Below are 22,718 nucleotides of genomic sequence, written 5' to 3' on the forward strand. Positions count from 1 at the left end.
CCCGTCTCTACTAAAAAAAAAAAAAAAAAAAAAATACAAAAAATTAGCCGGGCGTGGTGGCGGGCGCCTGTAGTCCCAGCTACTCGGGAGGCTGAGGCAGGAGAATGGCGTGAACCCGGGAGGCGGAGCTTGTAGTGAGCCAAGATCAGGCCACTGCACTCCAGCCTGGGAGACAGAGCAAGACTCTGTCTCAAAAAAAAAAAAAAAAAAGAAATGGAAAAAGAAAAAAATCTCAATGCAATCCCAATCAAAATCACAACAGGCTTCATATATATATATATATATACATATATATATATACACACATATATATATACACATATATATATATATACACATATATATATATACATATATATATACATATATATATATACACATATATATATATACATATATATGTGTGTGTGTGTGTGTGTGTGTGTGTGAGAGAGAGAGAGAGAGAGAGAGAAGTTGCATGGTTAGGTGGTAAAAGCAGTGTTTGCCATAAAAATCAGGTCGTTGGTTATTTTGGTGGGGAGGGAGAGGTAGTGTTTGGAAGGGGACACAAGGGAAGGTTTTGGGACGCATGGTATACCGGTTGTCAATGTATGGCCTCGCACCTCCAAATCCATCCTTTAATACCTGCTCTGTGGGCACAGCCAGAATCCCCTTCCGCGGCTCCCCTCGCGGCAGGGAGGATGCTGAACAGTAGAGGGCGCTGGAGACACGCTGCGGGAGGCTGTCGCTCGGGTCCGGCTGCGGGCCACAGGCCGCGGATCGCGCTCTGCCAGCACCCCACGCCCGCAAGCGCGGCCCCTCCGCCACCTCGCGGCCCGGCCTGACCTGTTAATCACGTCCCCACGGCTCTCCTAGCGGGGACACCGCCGTCTGCAGGCTCCGTCCCCACAGTGCCCAGACCCCGGGAAGTTTGTCAGTCAGCACCCTGATGCCAGCCGATTCTCAAAAAGCCAGGAGCATCCAAGCAGATGATTTGCCAGACGGTACTGCAGCAATGGAGATGAACAGATAATTCACACAGAAAGAAGGACGGTAGGGAGAGACGTGCGGGGGGTAGGGAGGGCGGAAGGAAGGTCTAGGGGAAGGAGCGGAGGGGGAAGGGAGGAAGGAAGGCAGCAATGGAATGAAAGGAGAAGGGAGGAAGGACTCGTTGAATGCACAGCCTCCCCGGTGCTGCACCGGCAGGAGCGGCTCTCACAGGCATGGGGCCCCCAACAGACCCTACCAGGCTGCGGGAATGTTGCGGCCCTGCAGGGCGTCTCTGTCTTTTTTGAGGTGTCTCTGGTAATATGTGATAATGACAGTATTTTTAGACATTTGGAATCTGATTTAAATTCTAGCTCCATCACCTTCTAGCTGTGGGACCCTGAGAAACGGCACATCCTCCCGGATCCTCCCATCTCTCTTGTCCACACGTGGGGAAGGCTCCTGGTGGGGGGGGGGTTGGGGGGGAGGGGGGAAGAGGGGGGGCCTTGCAGATTTACCAAGCTGATGTACAAAGACCTACTACAGCGGTAAGGGCTAGCTCCTTTCTCCCACTCTGGCAGTCACTCCACTTTGAGAAACATACCTCTTGAAATAAAGCTACAAGTGGAGAGGGGCAGGTGATTTGGGCAAATAATTCCATACTAAATATTAGGACAAAACATCCTAGGCAAATATCACAATCCGGCGTCATAGTGGCATACTAAATTCAACCAAGAAATATAACCATGATGTTGAAAGAGCCAGGCTTATGGAATGTAAACAGCAAACTATTTTATTCTTGTTTTCTATTTACCAATTCAAACTTGCTCTGCAGGTCACTCCTCCCTGCCCCTGGGATAAAATCTAGGGCATGTTCTGTGACTTTCTGGATCACAAAATTCACATGATTTTTGGATCATTCTCAGTTGACCAAAAATGTGTCCTGTAACTTCTAGCTATAAAAATAGGCTCTGTTCAGCATTTAAAATGTCCAATCCCATGTAGGAGTCTAAACTTTCGATTTCATTTTAAGTTTAAGCTTCCTCTTGATTCCTCCCCCAAGCCTGGCCCAGGCTTGCATTTGGCTCCAGGCATTGGGCGGGTAGCAGTGTTTCCTCTCCATTTTTCACTTTCACTCTTCCCTCCCCAACTAGCTTGCAGGGATTTCTGATCACCTAGTAGAGTCTAGAGGCGTAAGGGAAGGAGGTCACCAAGGGGCAGGCCAGGCTTTATGTGAATAGTGCTGTTGTGAGCCAAGTACTTGAGTACTTCGAGGTCCCCTTCTACTGCAGACATCTTCCCTATGGTTCCTGTGACCCAGGTTTGTCTCAGAGTGGGGTTAGCACACGGTACCATCTCCATCCCCTTTAAAAGTATTTATTACATTTTTCTGGAAATGGAAGTCTGGGAATTATATTTCCCTGATAGTCTTATGAGCAGGATTCCAGGTTGATTCTGCCAAATGTGAGGCACTCAGATGAGACTAGAAAGCAGAAAGATGGTTTAAAAAATCATCGTTTTCTTCCTTTGACTCTGCACTTATGACAGCAGGATGCTCGAGACTCTTGCAGTAATTTGGGCAAAGATTTCCACAGTGCAAAATAGCAAAAACGTAACTGGCAAATAGCTGTACAAATTACAGTCCATTTTCATCATGGAATGTCAGTTTGGCAACAATGGCATCGAGGCCCAAAAGCAGCTCTGCAGTAGGGGGGTTCCTCCTTGGTGACTGGATGGGCACAGCCAAGCACAAATTCCTGAAGATCCCAGCTCCAGGAAACATCAGCATGGTTCATTGCGTTGTCCACCTGAATTCTTCACCCCTCCCTGTGGCTGTGTCCATTGCCCTGTAGTGTTGCAGTTCCCCTCAGGAAAAAGATATCATTTACTTCTCTGACCCTTGATTTGGAGCTTGGCTATGTGACGTGCTTTGGCCAATGGGATATTGGATGACACAACATAAGGAGAGACACAGATATGCATCTGCACAATGCAGCTTGCCTTTTTATGCTTCTGCCTTCACCATGAAAAGAGCTTTCCCTGGGGGTAGCAGCTGTCCCTGCAGCCTGTGTTCAGAATGCACAAATGTGAGGAGCCAAGCCCAGCCAGCTTGAAAGTGAGTTGCCAGGCCCAGCGCAGTGGCTCACACCTGTAATCCCAGCACTTTGGGAGGCCGAGACAGGCAGATCACCTGAGGTCCGGAGTTCGAGACGAGCCTGACCAACATGGAGAAACCCCCGTTTCTACTAAAAAATACAAAATTAGGCCTGGCGCAGTGGCTCACGCCTGTAATCTCAGCACTTTGGGAGGCCGAGGCAGGCGGATTACCTGAGGTCGGGAGTTCGAGATCAGCCTGGCCAACATGGAGAAACCCCGTTTCTACTAAAAATACAAAAGTAGCCGGGCGTGGTGGCACATGCCTGTAATCCCAGCTACTTGGGAGGCTGAGGCAGGAGAATCGCTTGAACCTGGGAGGCAGAGGTTGCGGTGAGCCGAGATCATGCCATTGCACTCCAGCCTGGGCAACAAGAGCAAAACTCCGTTGAAAGAAAGAAAGGAAAGAAAGGAAGGAAGGCAGACAAAATTAGCCGGGCGTGGTAGCGCATGCCTGTAATCCCAGCTACTCAGGAGACTGAGGCAGGAGAATCACTTGAACCTGGGAGGCGGAGGTTGCAGTGAGCTGAGATGGCGCCACTGCACTCCAGCCTGGGCAACAAGAGTGAAACCCTAAAAAAAAAAAAAAAAAGTGAGTTGCCTACCCTAGCTCAGACCACCTCCAGCCAACCCACAGATGTGTTAGAAATGAGTGCTTATTTAAGTATGGCATTGACATGTTGTGATTAGTTGTTATGCACCATTATAGCAAAAAAATTGCACACTGATAAAAGTAACTGTTCCCTCGTTGGCTTCACCAGCTTTCCCAAGAATTGTTTAATCCCATTCCCTGTATAAAATCACTCTCTGCTGAGAATCCTTTTTCTGAGAAAAGAATTCTGAGAATTTTTTTTCTGCTTGAGGCAGACCAACACTCATTCCAAGAACAACTGGAAAGGCTGAATAAAACACAGAAAACTTTTTTAAAAAGTTTTTGGAAAGCTTCCCAGTTAACAAACATTTGAAGGGTCATAATCTCAAAAGAAGAAAAACACAAGGAGGCAAGCTGGCCCTCTGTGAACTACTTTTCCCTTCAGGAAACGTGCTGATTTTAGCTAAGAGGCCGAGCATTTGGGCAGACGGCCATAGCTAAGAGGCAGCAAAGGCAGCAGAGTCTTCAGCTGGAGAGACAAGAAATGGAGACTGAGGTTGTCAAGGCAGCTGGAACTGAAGGGGCCAAGATATCATGTAGAAGGGAGACACAGAAAAGGAACACTTTCCCCTTGAGGCATCTGCTGAGTTAAGCTATGCAGAAAGGCTATGAAAAGCAGCAGGTTTTGGCAGTGTCATATTAATGAGATAAAAGTTGGAGTTCAGGACCCACCAAGGAAAAGAAGCCTAATAATCACATCAGACACTCAGTTGGAATCCTTGGAGGACCACACTCTAGATAGACGGGCAAACCAGAGATGGAGATGAAGCCTTCCAAAAACTGCAACATAGACTCTAGTCAGTTCGGTACCATTGGATTAAGGTAAAATCTTCCCACTCTGTCTATCAGATGACATGGTAAACCCTCCCTTGAGACAGACATTGTTTTCAGATCATGTTTCCTGGAGCCACTAAAATTTATTATAATGGTTAGCATTCAACAATAAGTGATCAAACACACCACAAAACAGGAAGGAGGGGAAAACAGACACAACAAAACGGAGCCACTAATGACCCAGATATTGGTGTTATCAGACACAGACTTGATGGGTGGAATAGAGACTTTCATCAAAGAACTGGAATCTACAAGAAAGAATGAAATGGAAATTTAAAACTTAAAAATACAATAATTGAAATTAACTACTTAGCATATGGGTTAACTACAATTAGATTTAGCAGAAGGAACATTCTTTGAACTGTAATATAGGACAGAATAAAAACTCTAAGCTGAAGAACAGAGACAAAGAGTATGGAAAATACAGCAAAGAACATAAGATACTTGTGGGAAGTGGTGAACAGGCCTAACACATATGTAACTGGAGTCTTAGAAGGGAGGAAGATGGGGCAGAAGGAACAGTTAAATAAATATAGGCTGAGAACTTTCCAAAACTGATAAAGCTTTATGATCCCCAAGCAGGATAAATAAAAACAAAACTGCATCCAGGCACACTATACTTTTTTTTTATTATTATTTTTTGAGACGGAGTTTTTCTTTGTCACCCAGGCTGGAGTACGGTGGCGCGCGATCTCAGCTCACTGCAACCTCTGCCTCCCCAAGGTCAAGCGATTCTCCTGCCTCAGTCTCCCGAATAGCTGGGATTACAGGCACGCGCCACCATGCCTGGCTAATTTTTGGATTTTTTAGTGGAGACGGGGTTTCACCATGTTGGCCAGGTTGGTCTCAAACTTCTGACCTCAGGTGATCCACTGGCCTTGGCCTCCCAAAGTGCTGGGATTATAGGCGTGAGCCACCGCACCCGACCCAGGCACACTATACTTAAACTGCTGCAAATGAAAGACAAGGAAAAAACATTAAAAGCAGCTAGAGGCAGGTAGGAGGGACACATTTCTTCTTTTCTTTTTTCTTTTCCCCTCCCTCCCTCTCTCCTCCTTCCTGCCTCCCTCCTGTCGTTTTCTTTTGTAGAGGGGGGGGATCTTGCTCTGTTGCCTGGGCTGGTTTTGAACTCCTGGGCTCAAGGGTGCTGGGATGACGGGCGTGAGCCAGTGCATGTTACTGACACATTACTCTCAAAGGAGAAACAATAGCACTGAAAATCACTTGTCAACAGAAATGATGGAAGTGAGAAGATAATGGAGTGCCATTCTGAAGTTCCTCAAAGAAAAAAGTGTCAACCTGTAATCCTATATTCACAAAATATACTTAAAAATGAATTTGAAATAGATGTTTCTATTCAAAAACTGAGAAAGGCTGGGTGAGGTGGCCTGTAATCCCAGTCCTTTGGGAGGTCAAAGCAGGCAGACTGTTTGAGCTCTGGAGTTTGAGACCAGCCTGAGCAACATGGTGAAATCCCTTCTCTACAAAAAATACAAAAGAATTAGCCAGGTATGGTGGTGCCTGCCTGTAGTCCCGCTACTCGGGAGGCTGAGGTGGGAGGACTGCTTGAACCTAGGAGGTTGAGGCTACAGTGAACCATGATCATGCCACTGCACTCCAGCCTGGGCGACAGAGTGAGACCCTGTCTCAAAAACAAGCAAACAAAAAAACACAAAAAAACCTGAGAAAATTTGCTGCCAGCAGATGTGCATACACAAAAAATACTAAAGGGAATTCTTCAGGTAGAAGAAAACTGATCTATGATAGAATCACAGAAATGCAGGAAATAATAAAAAAAAAACAGAGTGAATATGTGGGTGAATACAAATGAATATTGACTGCACATAGCAATAATAATAATGTCTCGTTAGGTGTAAAATATATGTGAAATTAAAATGAGTAATAATAATATACATGCAAGAGTAGAATGGAGGTAAATAGAGATTGAGTATTGTGAGATCATAGCATTGTCTGGGAAACAATAAAAAGTAAAATTTGTATTAGATTATAATAATGTACAGAAGTTGTAATCTGTGGAGGAAACCACTAAAGAAATTATAAAAGAATGTGTAAGTAAAACCAATGGTAGGGGGGGAAACGGAATTAAAAAAATAATCAGAAAGAAAGCAACAGAAAAGAAAAAATAAAAACAAAAATGGGTAAGACAAATGGAAACAAGTAGTAAGATGGTATTTATGAACACAACTATATCAGTAATTACAATAAATGTAAATTCACGAAATACACAAAAGACAAAATTTGACAGACTTGATTAAAACAACTCTATTCAAGAGACATGACATCATTATAAGAACATTGAAAATTCAAAAATAAGGGGGAAAGTGAAAAAAATACCATTGTGAGTGGTAGAGAAAGCCATTTCACATAATAAAGGTTCACTCTACCAGAAAACATCAATTTTAAATGGGTATGAGCCTAATAACACAACCTCTAAATGCATAAAACAAAAACTAACAAAACTCAAAGGAGAAATAAACAAATTCATAATAACAGTGGCAGGCTTTATCCTCTCTCAGTAATTTATAGAAAAACAGACAAAAATATCAGTAAAGACGTAGATAATTTGACCAACCTGATTAACAAACTTGACCCAGTTGAAATACACATAACACCTGCACACAACTGCAGAATGCACATTCTTTCAAGTGCAAGAACATTATGATAAGAATATTATAGGAAAGTCTGTCATAAACATAGCTTATATAAAAATATAACAGCAAATTAATCTAAATTTTATTTATTTATTTACTTATTTTATTTTTTTGTTTATACTTATGTCATAAACATAGTTTATATAAAAATATAACAGCAAATTGATCTAAATTTTATTTATTTATTTATTTACTTATTTTATTTTTGGAGACAGAGTCTCGCTTTGTTATCCAAGCTGTAGTGCAGTGGCGTGAACATGACTCACTTCAGCCTTAACCTCCCGGGCTCACGCAATACTCCTGCCCCAGCCCTCCAAGTAGCTGGGACAACAGGCATGTGACACCATACCTGGCTAATTTTTGTGGTTTTTGTAGAGACCGAGTTTCACCACGTTGGTCTCAAATTCCTGAGCTTAGACAATCTACCTGCCTTGGCCTTCCAAAGTGCGGGGATAATAGATGTGAGCCACTGAGCTCGACTTAAATCTAAATTTTATTTTATTTTATTTTATGGCCATGCTCCCTCTAATAAATCTAAATTTTAAATAAATAAGTCCAAGTATTATTGTGTTTATGTGTATAAACCTGCACACACACACAAAAGTGTACACACCCTGCTGGTTTCTATTACAAGAATGTTAAGTTTGGTTTGACATTCAACAGTCAATTAGTATAAGTCATCACATCCAAAGAATAAAGGAGAAAAATAAAATTATTTCAAAAGGTGCAGAGTAAGTATTTGAGAGAAATTTAACCTTATTTGTAATTAAAAAAATCTTTTTAACAGCTTGAGAATATATGTTAATGAGTACATTAAAAATCCTATAACAACCATCAAACTTCATGGTGAATATTGACAACTCTCCACATGCCACACCCACCACCCCTGAGATTGAGGATGGACAAGAATACCCACTATCACTACTTATAGTCAGCATTCTGCTGGAGGTCCTAGCCACTGCAATTTGTATACCAATTTTATATCTTGCAACCTTGCCAAACTTATTAGCTCTAGTAGTTTTTTTGTGTGTGGATTCCTTAGGATTTTCCATAGACAAGATTATGTCATGTGCAGATATAGTTTTACTTCTTTCTTTATGATCTGGATCACTTTTATTTCTTTATCTTGTCCAATTGCTCAGCCACTGCAGTTTGGCAAGAGCTAAATAAGGCATAAAGATTAAGAAAGGAAGAAATAAAACTGTCATTCACAGAGGACATGATTATACAAAAATAATCTGCAAATTATTACAATTTAAATGAATGTCACAAAGCCTCTCACTGGATAACAAGGTCAACATAGTTTTGTAGCAACAGAATCTGTATATACTAGCCATAAACAAATATAAAACGTCTAAGAATAAATCTATTGAAGGATGTGCAAGAACACTTTACTGAAAACCACAAAAATAGTTCTGAGAAACATACAAAAGACTTAAAGTGAAGAGATATACCATGTTAATGAATAGGAAGATTGAATATTTTAATGATGTCAAATGGCCCCCAAATTGTTCTACATAATCAATTAAATCCAATCAAATTCTAGCACTTTATTTTGTGGAAATTGACTAGCTGATTCTAAAGTGTTTTATGGAAATGTAAAGGGCTTCTTTCTTCTGGAGTTGCCTTGTGGACAGGATTTGAGACAACCCAGGCCAGGTTTCTCTGGTCCATGGGAAGCATGCGTATGCTTTTTGCCCTGACTATGTCTGTAGAGAACAGCCCAAACAACAACCTCCTCCCCATCAGAGCAGAGAGCCAGCTAGTCTCTTGCCATTTAGATTTTTCAGGGATGAGTCAGAGATACCAGTCTACTCTGTCCTGCAGAAAAGGATACTTATCAACTTTTCCAAGCGGCCCTAGAAAAGTCACTGCTAGTCAGAAATCTCACCTTGGAATGTGGGGGTGGCTGGCATCTATCCGGATGTCAGATGAAACAGAAACAGTTCCACTGTAGTAGCCTGCTCTATAAACACACAGAGAACCCCTATTACATGTGAGCTATGAAGCTATTAGAAACTACAGCTTTGCGGACTACTTTGAAAATGTGCAAGTGGGCCGGGCGTGGTGGCTCACGCCTGTAATCCCAGCACTTTGGGAGGCCGAGGCGGGTAGATCATGAGGTCAGGAGATCGAGACCATCCTGGCTAACACAGTGAAACCCCGTCTCTACTTGAAAATACAAAAAATTAGCAGGGCGTGGTGGCAGGTGTCTGTAGTCCCAGCTACTCCGGAGGCTGAGGCAGGACAGTGGTGTAAGTAAACCCGGGAGGCGGAGCTTGCAGTAAGCCTAGATCGCGCCACCGCACTCCAGCCTGGGCGACAGAGCAAGACTCCATCTCAAAAAACAAACAAACAAACAAACAAACAAACAAAAAATGTGCAAGTGAAATAAGTGACAAAAAGCAAACACAAGATATTCTGTTCATACGAAACACTGCGAGGCGACACTTGTGTTTGTAGATTGACAGAAATTGGAGGTGGAGTTAAAGAGGTAGAAACTCAGTATAACATTCATTGCCTCTTTTGCTAAAGTTGTTTCACTGCATAAGAAAAAGATACTGGTCGGGCTGGGTGCGGTGACTCATGCCTGTAATCCCAGCACTTTGGGAGGCTGAGGCAGGTGGATCACCTGAGGCCAGGAATTTGAGACCAGCCTAGCCAACATGGTAAAATTCCGTCTCTACTAAAAATAAAAAAAATTAGCCAGGCATGGTGGCGGGCGCCAGTAATCCCAGCTACTTGGGAGGCTGAGGCAGGAGAATCGCTTGAACCTGGGAGGTGGAGGGTGCAGTGAGCCGAGATCACGCCATTGCACTCCAGCCTGGGTGACAAGAGGGAAACTCTGTCTCAAAAAATTAAAATAAAAAAAAAAAAGAAAAAGAAGGAAAAAAGAGAAAGAGATAGTGGTTCCATGTGCTGTTCTAGTTACACAAAACAACGTGTTGACGTGCAGGCTGCACGATGCCAGGTGCAAATACACACTACCTGTTACAGTAACTGTGACAAGCACAAGGGCTGCTCACTAGCTTGAGTGCAACTTCTGGGGAGTTGATGGCAGTGATCTGTGGGTACTTCCTTCTTAACAAATTTTACATCAATACTGCAACACAGCAATCTCAGCCCTGTGGGCTATACCATAGCCACATGCTTTCACCATTTCCTGCTCAAAGGGAGAGCCCAGGAACTGAATGCTCTTAATCAGGGAGAGCACAGAAACAGCAGCAGAACAGCTGGAGAACCAGGGCTGTGTGGTTTTGGACTGTGGGGAGGGTGGGCCATGGGCAGACTTGATACAATGTGGGAGGGCATTTGACACAGCCCCGTGGAGGACCTAATGCTCGGGGAGGCCTTCACCCAGCACAGTGAGCCATGCCGACACTTGGTGCCTGAGTGCGCTGGTCACAGCGCCCTCCCTGTGATTTTCCCCATAGCAGTGTGTTTTCTCTGCCAGGCAGAAGGCAGAGAAACCCTGGCTGAAAAAGCAGTGAGGGTCATCGACTGCATGAACACATCATCAGCTTTCCCAGATGGAGGCACCCAAGTTTACCCTGCAGGTCCATTCAGCAGGTAGAGCTGGGTCATCACTAAACAGGATCTTTCTTCTGAGCATCTGAGATTCTGGTCCAAATCAGGGCTGTGAGGACCAGGAGCCGGGATTCCGAGCCCAGGCAGCCCCGCAGATAAGGAGGAGGGAGTGTGTCGGAAGGCTGTATGGCCAGAGCCGCTGACCGGGCCAGGGCTTCTTTGTCCCCTCTTCTCTCCTGCATATCAGCACTCACGTCCTCCTGGCTCGGGCTGGCTGGCAGCTCGGGGAGCTGTTGGATGAAACGTCCATGCGTGTGGCTGTGGCTGTCACATGCAACTGCGAGGATGGTCGGCTCCCAAAGCGGAACCGCGGTGCTGGGCGAAGGGTCAGGGCTCCGTGGTGCGGCAGAGCGCATGCCAGCGCTTCACCAGCTCCTTGGGCTTGCTGAGCATCTCGTCCCAGTGCTCCAGCTCTCTGCCGCGGGTGTACATGTAGGGGCCCACCACCACTCGGCCCAGCTGCTGGCTCTCTGCAGGGGAGGGAGAGCACCGGTGTGCTCCTGAGCACAGAAGCCCCGTCCCCAGTGACCTCCTTTCCTCCCTCCTCCTCCCCAGGAGGAAGTAGCAACTCCCCTCCTCTCTGAGTGGGAGCTGACAGGCCCCAAAGGGGCCCTGCCTTTGCTCTGCAGCTGGAAGGGCTGCTTCTCCCCCTGGGAGATTGGGAGGAAGGAGAGCCCTGAAAGACTCTCTCCTTGAGGGCCACCAGCTCTGCCCCACACCCTTCTGTGGGGCCGTATTAAGTCTACCTTATGCCAAAGAGCTGAGGGAGGAAAGGGCCCCTCTAGAAAGAAGGCCTCGGCCATCCGAGAGTACATTCAGCAGTAACATTCACTGGCCACCGTGGAGAAGGGTCTTAAGTCCAGGCCATGTGGCCAGCCACGGCCTGATGGCTCTGTTTCCCCAGAGTGGCAGTGGGTGCTGGGGTGTGGGGCAGTGTGGGAGCTGGCTGACAGAACTCGCCCAGAACCCCAAAGTCTCATCTGGAGGGCACGAGGAAGGTCAGAGCACCAGGTCCCTGGGCTGGTGGCAGGCCTGGCCCCTCCCACTCTCTCGGGTGATTTGCTCCAGGAGAGGGCAGCAGAGGCCATTGCTTAACCTCTTTCTTTTTCTTTTCTTTTCTTTTTTTTTTTTTTGACAGAGTCTCGCTCTGTGGACAGGCTGGAGTGCAGTTGCAAGATCTTGGCTCACTGCAACCTCTGCCTCCCGGGTTCAAGTGATTCTTCTGCTTCAGCCTCCCGAGTAGTTGGGCCTACAGGCGTGCACCACCACGCCTAGCTAACTTTTGTATTTTTAGTACAGACAGAATTTTACTATGTTGGCCAGGATGGTCTTGATCTCTTGATGTCGTAATCCACCCCTCTCGGTCTCCCAAAGTGCTAGGATTATAGGCGTGAGCCACCGCACCCAGCCAACCTCTTTTTTTTTTTTTGAGACGAAGTCTCGCTCTGTTGCCCAGGCTGGAATGCAGTGGTGCGATCTCGGCTCACTGCAAGCTCCGCCTCCCAGGCTCATGCCATTCTCCTGCCTCAGCCTCCCAAGTAGCTGGGACTACAGGCGCCAGCCACCACACCCAGCTAATTTTTTGTATTTTTAGTAGAGACGTGGTTTCACTGTGTTAGCCAGGATGGTCTCGATCTCCTGACCTCGTGATCTGCCTACCTCGGCCTCCCAAAGTGCTGGGATTACAGGTGTGAGCCACCGTGCCCGGCCCTTTTTTTTTTTTTTTTTTTTTTTGACAGATTCAGCAGCCTCGCCTCCTGGGTTCAAGAGATCCTCCCACCTCAACCTCCCAAGTAGCTGGGATTACAGGGGTGTGCCACCACGCCCAGCTAATTATTGTATTTTTAGTAGAGATGAGCGTTTCACCATGTTGGCCAGGCTGGTCTTGAACTCCTGAGCTCAAGTGATCCACCCACCTTGGCCTCCCAAGGTGCTGGGATTACAGATGTGAGCCAGCATGCCCGGCTGCTTAACCTGTTTCTAGGGTGCCACAGACAGAGCTCAACTGGACTAAAGCTGGGCCTGAAACCCAGGCCTTGGGCAATATTTCAGCCTTTCTGAGCACTAGTTTCCTTAACCAGGGAGGGAGCTCGTACGGCTCCTTCTGAGGTCAGGACAGGAGGCACTCACTCTGCCTGAACACTCGGCAGCCCCTCGTGGTCCCCATCCCAGCAGCCCAGGGTAGGGTGTGGCCTTACTGTCCCCTTCCATGTTCTGCACCACAGTCAGGCTGAGGCTAGCGGTATCCAGCTCGGTGGCATCGGCCTTGAAGCTGAAGGTCTCATTGTACACAGGGTTGATGGAGCCCAGCACAGCTGAAGTCTTCTTGCACTTGACAAACTTGTTGTGGTTCATCAGAGACACTTTGACAAACACACCTAGGGAACGGTGAGCACTAGTGGGCTGGCAGAGGCAGGTGGGAGCAGAGCCCCTGCCTGTGGGAGGTCCGGCTAGGAGGGCACGTGCCCAAGCTAGGTGCCAGGGCCCCACCCCTCACACAGTGCTGCGGCCCCGCCGGCGTGACCAGAGGAAGCCGGCTGAGGAGTGCACTGCCCTGCGGCCCAGGCGGGGCTCCGCTCCCTTCCTTTTCCTTCCTCTTTGCATCAGGAAAGTACCCACGGCTCCTGCAGGCCCTGGTTTACCAGAGCCTAGCACCGCAAGCCTGTCCCTCCCTGTTGGGGGGCTGCTCACTGGGCCCCCAGGCCCCCTGGGGCCCCTTAAACACCTTGTACAGAGGGCTAAGATTTGGTGGGTGAGGGTCAGAGTCACAGTGGAAGGTCTGGATCCTGCCTGGCTTACGGTGACCCCAGATGTGAACACAAACAGGTGGCTGACCACCACCACCTCACTGGGATGGGTGGGATGTGTGGGGTGAGCCCAAATGGGGTGGGACATGTGGGGTGAACCAAGGCCTCCCCTTCTGCAGCTCCTGTATTCTGGGAGGCCAAGCATCAGTGCCCATTGAGTCGGGGGCTCTTCCCCTGTGGGGAGGGAGGTGCGGGCCTCACCCTGGAGGAACTGGACCCATGCCGCTGATGGAAAGGTGGAGGTGGAGGCAGGCAGGACAGTTCAAAGAGCCAAGACGCTGCCTCGGGAAACAGGAGGGGCAGGGCCTGGTATTGCGGCTGGGTTAGAACCCTCCGTAGGGGAGGCCAAGGAGATGCAGCTTTGGGTTCAACACAGGAAGAGGCTTCCTGCACCAGAACTGTCGACCGAGGGACAGCACGTCTTGTGAGGTAGTGAGCACTCCATGATAGGTGTATGCAAGCAGAAACTGGATGGTCAGGGATGAGGTTGGACTGTAGCCCCAGGCTGTAAGCTCGGTGGGTGGGACCTTCCCCAGGAGGAAAGGGAGGAACTCACTGACAATGCCTCTGTCCTCCTGGAGCCGGAGGCCCTTGGCACGCAGCACAACCACCGTCAGGCGGCTCAGGTAGTCGTTGTAGCTGAGGCAGAACTGGAGGTCGCCAAACTCCGAGGGGGGCTGGGGAGGCCAAGATGGAAGCACCCCATCCTGTTACTCTGGCAAGTGCTGAAGGGGTCACAGAACCCCCAGAGAGCCTCCCGCTTCCTCCTAGCGGCCCATGCGACACACCCGCATGGTCCCCTTTGAGTTCCACTGCCATTTTAAGGATGGGGCAACTGTGGTCTGGAGAGTTTAAGGGGCTTGTGCAGTCCTGTGGACCACAGCTAAGGAGTCACACCCAGGTCTGAGCCAGCTGGGGCCTTCCTGGGGGTGGTGGGCTGGAGGAAACATTTCCCTGGGCTGGACCATTTGTGGTGTCATCTCTCACAGCTGTCTAACCTAGATAAGAATCCAAATGTGGATATTTCAGGTTGCTCCAGGGGGTCTGATGGCCAGTGTGACAACAGGACCTCAAGCAGGCCCTCCCTGCCCAGGGGCAGGTCCGTTCCCACCTGTCCCATGCTGCTTGGGGCCTGGGCCCTCCTCCCTGAGTCACTGTTGTAGGGTGGTGTGCAGGATGCTGAGGGCTGATGCCGCCAGCAGGTGCTGGGCCCTGTGCACACCTGCCAGCTGATGCTCAGTGGCATAGGCATGGTGACCTTGACCATACCTCCAGGCTCTCAGCCTCCAGGTCTCTCCAGATGACACGCCGGCAGTCCCCCACTAGGGTCTCATTCTTCAAGGGGAAGAGCACCTGGCCCAGGAGCTGGTGCTTCCTCTGCCTGTCCACGTGGTAGACGGAGAACTTCAGCACCCTCTGGGTGATGGTCTTGCTGGACACCTGGGGGGGACAAGGACACCAGCCAGAGTCAGGCGTGGGGGTAGGGGATGGGATGGTGTGACTTGTTATTCTGGACATGGGTGCTTTTGGGAACGGGTGTCTCAACCAGGGACCCACATCCCCCAAACCTAGGCATTTTCAGGGGACCCTTCTCAGCAGCAGAGCCGTGTACCCCTGGAAAGTGGGGGTAGGTGCCAGGACCTTGGTACACAGAGTGTGGTCCGAGGACCTGTAGCGTCTACCACCACTTGGAGCCCTGTTAGAAATGCAGGATCTTGGGCCCCAGCCCAGATTCATGAATTGGAATCTGCCGTTTAACCGGAGCACCAAGTGACATGGCTGCACGGTGAGTGTGGCTCCGCCACCACCCTGCACTGTAGCAAAGGCCCAGGAGCCCAGGGCACCGGCCTGTCTCTGCTGTCAGAGCTGGGCATGCCAGCTCTCTCCTCCCTGAGATTTGGCCTCCTCGCCTGTGAAATGGGGATTATGGGTCTTCCTCTCTGGTTGTAAAACCCCAATCACAGTGTCTGACCTCCAGCAGATGGCCCATTAATATTGATTTTCTTTTCTTTCCCCTTCTCCCTTTTCCACAGAGGGATTGGATCAAGCTGGGGCGAGATAGAGTGGGGAAGTGATGAGCTAAGAAAAATTAGCCTGCAAGCATGACGTGTCGCACGTCAGCAAGGCTGCAGCCTTGGATTCTGATGTCTTGAGAAGAGCGATTCACCTGTGAATTCTCACAGCCCTGGCCTCAGAAAGACGGCCCGGGACCAGGCCCGATGGCACCCCTCTTCCCAGCTCTCAGCCAGGGCGGAAGGCACAAGTGATGGCCCTGGCCTCCGCAGTCACACTCCTCCTGAAAGCTGACTGGCTGAACCTCACCTCTTGGCTAGCTTGCCACCCAGCTCTTGAGAACATGTTTGTCCAAGGCCTCTTGGCAGGTCTCGATGACTCCTTCCCCTAAGGGCCCCCAGTCACCTGCTAAGGCTCCCAGGCCCCTGTGAAACTGGCTCGGTGCCCCAATAGACTCTCCACCTCCAGACCCTAAGCCGGCCAGCCCAGAGTGCAGCAAGGCACCACACCTACCCTGTGAGGGCACTCGGGCCCCGCGCTGGCCTCTGACAGCACAGGAAGCTTCTGCATTCACGCTGAGGCCTGTCTTTTGCCTTCCTTGGATAAACTTGCCAGAAACCCCATAGTGCTTCAGGCCTTTGGGATAATTCCCCTGAGCCCCATAGGCCAGGGCCTGGCATTCAGTAGTTGCTCTAAAATTGTGTTTTCACCCACTCTCTTCCAGGTAGTCAGGACAGGGAAGCCCAGGCTTCTGGTCACCACTCACCAAATCTCTCCCCTGCCCCTCTATCAGGGATCAGCTCCTATAGGCCTTAACCTAGCAGACTAGGTAAAGCAGAGCTGGTGGCATCAAGGGTCCCGGGGGCTGCAGAGCCCTGGCTGGTACAGGAGGCTGGGCTCTCCTGTAGGTCTGCACCTTCCCAGCAACGCGGAGGGCACCAGACCCTGCCTGCTCCAGAAGCTGTACCTGAAAGATGAAGTGCTCGTCAAACTGCGGGTTGGAGGTTTTGCGTTTGGTCTTGGATTGGAGGAAGCGCCGCTCATCGGGCAGCAGGTAGAGCTTCACCAGGGGGCTGCAGGTCTCCGAGGGGGCTTGCAGGTGCTGTGCCTTGATCAAGCCCACCAGCAGCCGCTCAGCCTCCTGCTCATATTCCACCGAGAACCACAGCCGCCCCAGGCAGCCGTCGGGGAAGTCGGTCTCACTTTTGTCCTCTGGGAACTTGTACAGCTCTGGGTTGATGGCCCCCACCATACATGCATCTCCTATGACAGAGGGTGGGAGGGCTGGCAGGCCAGAGGAAGGCAGGGGCATGGGAGACAGTGGCAAGCTCTGGGCACCCATCCCCATCCTGGCCCATCCGTCTCTGCTGAGCCTCAGCTAGCCTGACCACATCTGCCCCACTCTCCTCACCAGGCTAAACACATCCCCTCTCTCTGGTGCAGCTCCTCCAAGAAGCCTTCTCACCATGAAGGCATTGCATGGCCAGGCTGGGGATCCAGCAGAGTCCTGCCCCCTGGGATTGGCCCCCATCCTTGGAGGTCAGGACCTGTTTCAAGGACACAGTGCCCATCACCTGGCCTAGCCCCCTTCCATGGCGTCTAGGGAATGACTCAGCGATAAAACATTGCCTTTCTTCTTCCTCTTCAAATTAGAAGGGCCAAGGTGATTATTGGGTGGTTCCTGTGATGGTCTCTTGGTAGATCTTCAGGGCAAAGAGGTGGCAGAAAGCTGTGTTTGCAGCCCCTACCATTCTGTCCTCTTGGTCAACCAACCCATCATCCTAGAGTGGGACCCAGCACAAGTTCTGTACATGGCGTGCCTGGGTTCCAATTCCAATCTGTTGCTTACAGCCTCAGTTAAGACTATGTAAAATGGGGTGATAATTCCTCCCCCTCAGAGTCATGGTGAGGTCTCACTCCAAATCAGCACCCAAGGCCATATCTCACCCTCATGGGGTGCAGCAAGCACTTCATAAATGAAAGCACCCAGAAAGAGTGGTCCCTGGGTGGTCCCTGGCATCCCTGGCTGGTTCAGGTTGTGTTCCGGAGCCAAGCTGGTGAAAGCAGATGGGGCCACCCGAGCAGACCCTGACCTCTGGGCAGCCCTGGCAAGGACACTCACCAAGGCCGCCGCTGGAGGTGTGAGGCAGCAGCTCTGATGCCGGGCAGGGGTCCCATGGGGCATCGGCCCACTCTCCACTGTGCAGGGGCACCCAATCTCGGCCTTGAAGGGTTGGGGGCACCACGAATGGCACAGCTGGTGGCCTGTCCAGAGTCAGGGAGACAACATGTAGGTGGCAAGTGAATGGTGTGGTCTCAGAGCGCTCAGCCAGGACGGTTGAGCACCAGGGGCTGGAGGAAGAAAAGCCATCGGGAGCCAGGAGGAGGCCAGGGCACCATTTTCTGGGCCCATACCAGGCAACACACACACACACACGCACACACACACACACACACACACACAGCAGTGGGATTTGGAGAAGGAACACAGCACCTGACAGTGTCAGCCAGTCTGGGTTTGGATTCCTGTTCTGCCACTTACTAATTGTGTTCTCTGGACCTGTTGCTTATGTGCACTGAGCCTCAGATTCCTCACCTGGAACATGGGTTTCATAACACCTGCCTAATAGCTGATGTGAGGTTTCTGGGGTTTCTTTGTGATAGCTCCCAGCACCGAAGCAGCATAGAAGAGGCACCCCCATAAACAGAACTTTCCTTTTCGACCCCACCCTGAGGGAAATTCCAGGGGCGCACTTGGCCCCACATCCTGCCTCACCTGCTCAGTTGGGTCCTAGCATGCGGCTGGCAGGGCCTGTCCCGCTGCCCACTGGAGGCAGCTGTGGTGGCCATGGCTGGTGTCCCAGGCAGCTCCTCATAGGTGAGGGTGGCACAGAACCTTCTCCACAGACAGCAGCTTGCCCCGATCAACAGCAGCAGCAGCAGCCCCCCGATGGTGCCCCCAATCACCAGGGCCAGCTGCTCTGGGGGCAGAGACCACCAGTACTATGATGCCTGCCTGGGAAGGCCACTCTCCCTCACAGCCCTGGCCTGCTGGGGCAGAACTAGGGCAGCAACCCTGCCTCTGGGTTTGATCTCAGGAGTGATAGGAGCAGGCCTGCTGGGGATGGGTTCCGGGAGGGATGCTGCTGGCTAGGTTCCGCCAGCTCTCAGAGGAGAAGCCGTTTACCCCAGGGTCTGAGAGCCCTGGGCAGAACCTTCTAGTTTTCCTTGGAAAACAGCTGGCCCTGCCCTTGGGATTCTGGCTTAAAGAAGCCATTTCCTTGCGCTTCTGAGTAGAAATCAAACCTGCCCTCACCAGAACCTCCATATCCCCTGGGCTCCTGTTGAGGCCAGGAGGGGAGCTGGGGTGTGGACGCAGTCAGTTAAGGAAAGCCCTGAAAGGTACCTTCCCCCTGGTCTGCAATCAAACCTCTACCCTCTGGGGCCCTGGAACCTGCTGCAAGGCTGGACTCTTCTCTAACACCCGCTCCCTCCCCTAGCCCTCTATCAAGGTGAGCACGCGCTTAGGGGAGTTGGTGCGACGCGGTGGACGAGGTGGGGAGGAAGAGGGGGCAAGGCCCCATTGCTGCTGGCCCTCACACGTCCGCATTTGCGGGACCTAGGAGGCTTCGCCCCGGGGGTGCTCAGACGCTGGGTTCCAACCGCTGGCCACCTGGGGCGGGCCAAAAAGGTGCCTCCCTTAGGGTGACGTGCGGCCGCGGGGCATTCAGGTCTCAGGGATCTGCACTGGGTGGGGTGGTGAGAAGGCCGGACCCCCCACACCTCCTAAGCCGCAACTGACCGCGAAGAGCGGGCCTCAGCGTCTACTCCATCCCAGTGCCCCTCCAAGAGCGCGCCGAGGCCGGGCAGGGCAGGCGCTGCACCCCAGCGGGGGCGGCGGGGCGGAGGCAAGTGCTGGAAGGGTCGCAGAGGGGCCGGGGCTGGGCTGGGGAGGCGAGGCTCGCTTACCCGCCATGGGGCTGCTCCCGCAGGCTGGTCTCGCCGGTCTGGGCGGCTGGGGCTGGGCTGCCAGGCCGTCTCTTAAAGCGCCGCGGGGCGCCGTCGGGCGAGCACAGGGGCGGTCCGTGGTGCTGCTGGTGCCCAGCTGCGGCGCGGGGAGCCGCGCAGTGCACGGCAGGGGCAGGGACCCAGCGCCCCGAGGCCGCAGTCCCGCCCCAGCCAGTCCCTGGCCCAGGCCCAGGCCCGGCGGTGGAGGGGCGCAGAGCCGACCGTGAGCTCCCGGAAACCGCAGGGCTCCAGCCAGGGCGGGTCCCGGGCGCCAGGGGCGCCAGGGGCTCCCTGCGGCTTGGGGCAGGGTGCGGTGAGAGTACCACCCCCATCCCGGAGAGCAGGGCTACAGCCTTCACCGCCGCGTCTGACACAGGGCTCCGCACCCGACCCCTCACACCTGGTGGCCAGGACTGAGCCCCCGCCCTCCCAGATCCTCCTCAAGCCGAGGCCCCTCCAGCCGCAGCTCCGACCCCGGCTCGGGGGAGCCTTCCCGGATCCCGGGGTGGAGTCTCCGCGCGGGTCCCGGGCCCCAGCGCTGCCTGCCTGATGGCCTTGGGCAGGGATGCGGCGCTCGCGCACCCGTTCGCTCTCAGCGGACAAACCGGTCGAGAGCGCAATTCTGGAGCGGGTTCCAGAAGCTCCTGGGTTCCAATTCAGGCTCCTCACTCGCCAGCCCTGCGATTTGGGACAACTTAACGTTCGTATGCTGGGTTCAGTCTTCTCAATTGGGTTAATGTCCGTGAGGGGCTCTCGTAAGGGCGGCTGGCCTGCCGGTAACTTAAGAAGCATGTAAAGAACACTTAGAGCGGAGGAGCGGCGCGGCCCAGCCCCTGTTACGGTGGTTATCGGATGGAGGCCAGCGTCGCCTGGGTCCCCTCTGTACACCCAGCGCCTATTATTATGGTGATTATTAGAACGCAGGGCCCGTGCCCACTAGTCCAGGCTGGCGAACGCGCCTTGCGGGAAAGGCGGGAGTAAGGTCGCTGCGTGTCCTCTCTGGTCACCCCTCGGCGCGCCCTGGTCGCGCCCCTATGGTTCCCCCGCCGAGGCCTCGAGGCGTCTGAGTGGGGAGCGAAAGGAATGTGTGTATCTGTGGTGCAGGGGAGTGTGTGTGTGGGGGGGGGAGGGGGTGGTTGTGGGGGAGTGCGTGTTTTGGGGGGATGGACCTTCTCGTTTTACAGCCTTGAAGGTTATGTCCAGAGTCATAGCCTGGGTCCCACACCCCCGCGTCACCTGTGCCTGTCCTAGGGGCCAGTCAGTGTGCGTGAGGCTCCACCCTGCCTGGGCTTTGGCTCACCTAAGGCGAGGAGGGTGGTGAACTGGGGTGCCCCACTGGGCCGGGTCTGGGAGCCCTCAGGGCCAGGGTGCAGAGGCCGCAGCCACTCCCCTTCTAGGGTCTGGGCGGTGGGGGCATGAGAAGGCGGAGACCCAGGCCACTTCACCCAGTAACTGTCCTCAGCTGTGCGCTTAACTGGCGAGATCTCCGCTCTACTTGGAGACAGTCTGGGGTGTCTGGAGAATCCTCCCCCACTTCTGCTTACCCCAGGTCGCTGTGGGAGCAGGTGTCTCAGGAAATGGGGCCTGGGTCCCACCCAAGGCCTCGGGTCTGAGTTAGATGTCTGTATGTTTGTTGTTGCCCCTGCAACAAAGTACCACAGATTGAGTAGTTTAAGCCACACGCATGTTATCTCACAGTTCGGGGGGTCGGGAATCTAAACTGGGTTGGCAGGGCCTGTGCCTTCTGGAGGCAAGGGAGCTGTTTCCCAGCGTTTCCAGCTCCTAGAGGCTGCTAGCTAGTGGCCCTTTCCTTTGTCTTCAAAGCCGGCAGCACAGCCTTTTCTAACCTCTCCCACTCCAGGTCATTTCACATCAACTCTTTCTGCCTCCCTCTTGTAAGTGTGATACCCTACCTTGTTTTAACCTGAATTGACTGTCCCTTAGCTGAGAGAGCCAGACACACTCCATTTTGGCTCCTTCACTTGCAGCCCCTTACCCACCCCCCTTCCTCAAGGACTTAACTTGTGCAAGCTGACTCCCAGCACATCAAAGAATGCAATTAATGGATAAGATACTGTGGCAAGCTATATCCGCAGTTCCCAGGAATTTGCCCAGTTGATAGTACCCTAAGCCCCCACATTTGTGTCCGGTTGATGGTACCCAAAGCCCCCGCATCTATCGCCTTGTGATGGATTTAAAACCCCTGCACCTGGAACTGTTTGTTTTCCTGTAACCATTTGTCTTTTAACTTTTTGCCTGTTTTGCTTCTGTAAGAGTGCTTCAGCTAGGCTCCTCCTCCCCTTTCTAAACCAAAGTATAAAAGAAAATCTAGCCCTTTCTTCAGGGCCGAGAGAATTTTGAGCACTAGCCATCTCTCGGTTGCCGGCTAATAAAGGACTTCTGAATTCATCTCAGAGTGTGGCGTTTCTCTATAAGAGGCTCATCAGATAATCCAGGATAACCACCACCCCCATCTCAAGATCATTAACTTAATCACACCTGCAAAGCCCCTTTTGCTATGTAGTCACGGGGTTGGGGATGAGGACTTGATATCTCTAGGACCATTGTGTGGACCATGTTGTCCATGCAGTACCCTGGGAGGGGTGGCTTACATTTCCCCTTCCTCTGTCTAGAGTTCAGTGTGCCTCAACACTGGACTCAGGCAGCTAGCAAGGCTCAGGGGACCCCTACATGGAACCCGTCAGCTATCTTGACCCCTTCCCCCAGCTGCCATGCACCCCCACCTGACCACCCCAGTGGGGCATGGCATCCACACCAGCTGCCTCCATGATTGCGCCCGAGCTGTACTCAGGCTGTTCTGGGGGTGGAGTTGGGTAGTGGGATGTTTTTTGAAAAGGGAATCCCTTCTGGCACTTCCTGAGTGCCAGGCCCAGAGCTGCCATCTCTCGACCCCCATGCTGTGCTTTTCCAAAGTCCCCATCTTTCTCTGTGTCACCAAGTCCTGACAGCTGTTCCTCCTCTGTCCATCTCTATCATGGCAAAAAACCTTGCCCAGCCCTCCAT

The 22,718-nt window shown here is 51.7% G+C and overlaps 2 protein-coding genes and 1 long non-coding RNA gene across 14 annotated transcripts in view, besides 3 other annotated features; 1 reads left to right on the top strand and 2 right to left on the bottom strand.

Annotated features, from left to right (window-relative positions):
- Positions 1 to 22,718, bottom strand: part of ANXA8 (annexin A8) — a 523,804-nt gene that overhangs the window by 274,986 nt on the left and 226,100 nt on the right. The window lies entirely within an intron of this gene.
- LOC102724593 (uncharacterized) lies at positions 721 to 16,063 on the top strand. Its single transcript, NR_134489.1, has 2 exons — positions 721 to 1,032; positions 15,707 to 16,063. It is a non-coding gene; the product is annotated as an uncharacterized LOC102724593 (long non-coding RNA).
- SYT15B (synaptotagmin 15B) lies at positions 1,739 to 20,614 on the bottom strand. Of its 12 annotated transcripts, none has more exons than NM_001370185.1 (8): positions 19,656 to 20,614; positions 18,463 to 18,662; positions 17,809 to 17,951; positions 16,654 to 16,949; positions 14,943 to 15,113; positions 14,230 to 14,350; positions 13,065 to 13,244; positions 1,739 to 11,336 (listed from the first exon to the last, which is right to left on the bottom strand). In NM_001370185.1, the coding sequence occupies exons 2-8, from the start codon at positions 18,534 to 18,536 to the stop codon at positions 11,194 to 11,196; spliced, it is 1,128 nt and encodes a 375-aa protein (NP_001357114.1). In that variant the 5' UTR covers positions 18,537 to 18,662; positions 19,656 to 20,614; the 3' UTR covers positions 1,739 to 11,193. The 12 variants fall into 12 exon arrangements, 11 of the variants coding, with proteins under 11 accessions (NP_001357114.1, NP_001357113.1, NP_001357112.1 ...); NM_001370184.1 differs by having other exon boundaries at positions 18,463 to 18,667; NM_001370183.1 differs by having other exon boundaries at positions 16,654 to 16,970; positions 18,463 to 18,667.
- Positions 11,733 to 12,027: an enhancer, noted in NCBI's record as "tiled region #2784; HepG2 Activating DNase matched - State 5:Enh, and K562 Activating DNase unmatched - State 25:Art". NCBI's record gives its function as "weakly activates a minimal TATA promoter and a strong SV40 promoter by Sharpr-MPRA in HepG2 and K562 cells {active_cell/tissue: HepG2 | K562}" and the evidence as "EXISTENCE:reporter gene assay evidence [ECO:0000049][PMID:27701403]".
- Positions 11,733 to 12,087: a biological region, named in NCBI's record as "Sharpr-MPRA regulatory regions 2784 and 8617 duplicate 2".
- Positions 11,793 to 12,087: an enhancer, noted in NCBI's record as "tiled region #8617; K562 Activating DNase unmatched - State 25:Art". NCBI's record gives its function as "activates a minimal TATA promoter and a strong SV40 promoter by Sharpr-MPRA in K562 cells {active_cell/tissue: K562}" and the evidence as "EXISTENCE:reporter gene assay evidence [ECO:0000049][PMID:27701403]".

Source organism: Homo sapiens, chromosome 10, assembly GCF_000001405.40.
Source record: "Homo sapiens chromosome 10, GRCh38.p14 Primary Assembly".
Taxonomy (NCBI): Eukaryota; Metazoa; Chordata; class Mammalia; order Primates; family Hominidae; genus Homo; species Homo sapiens.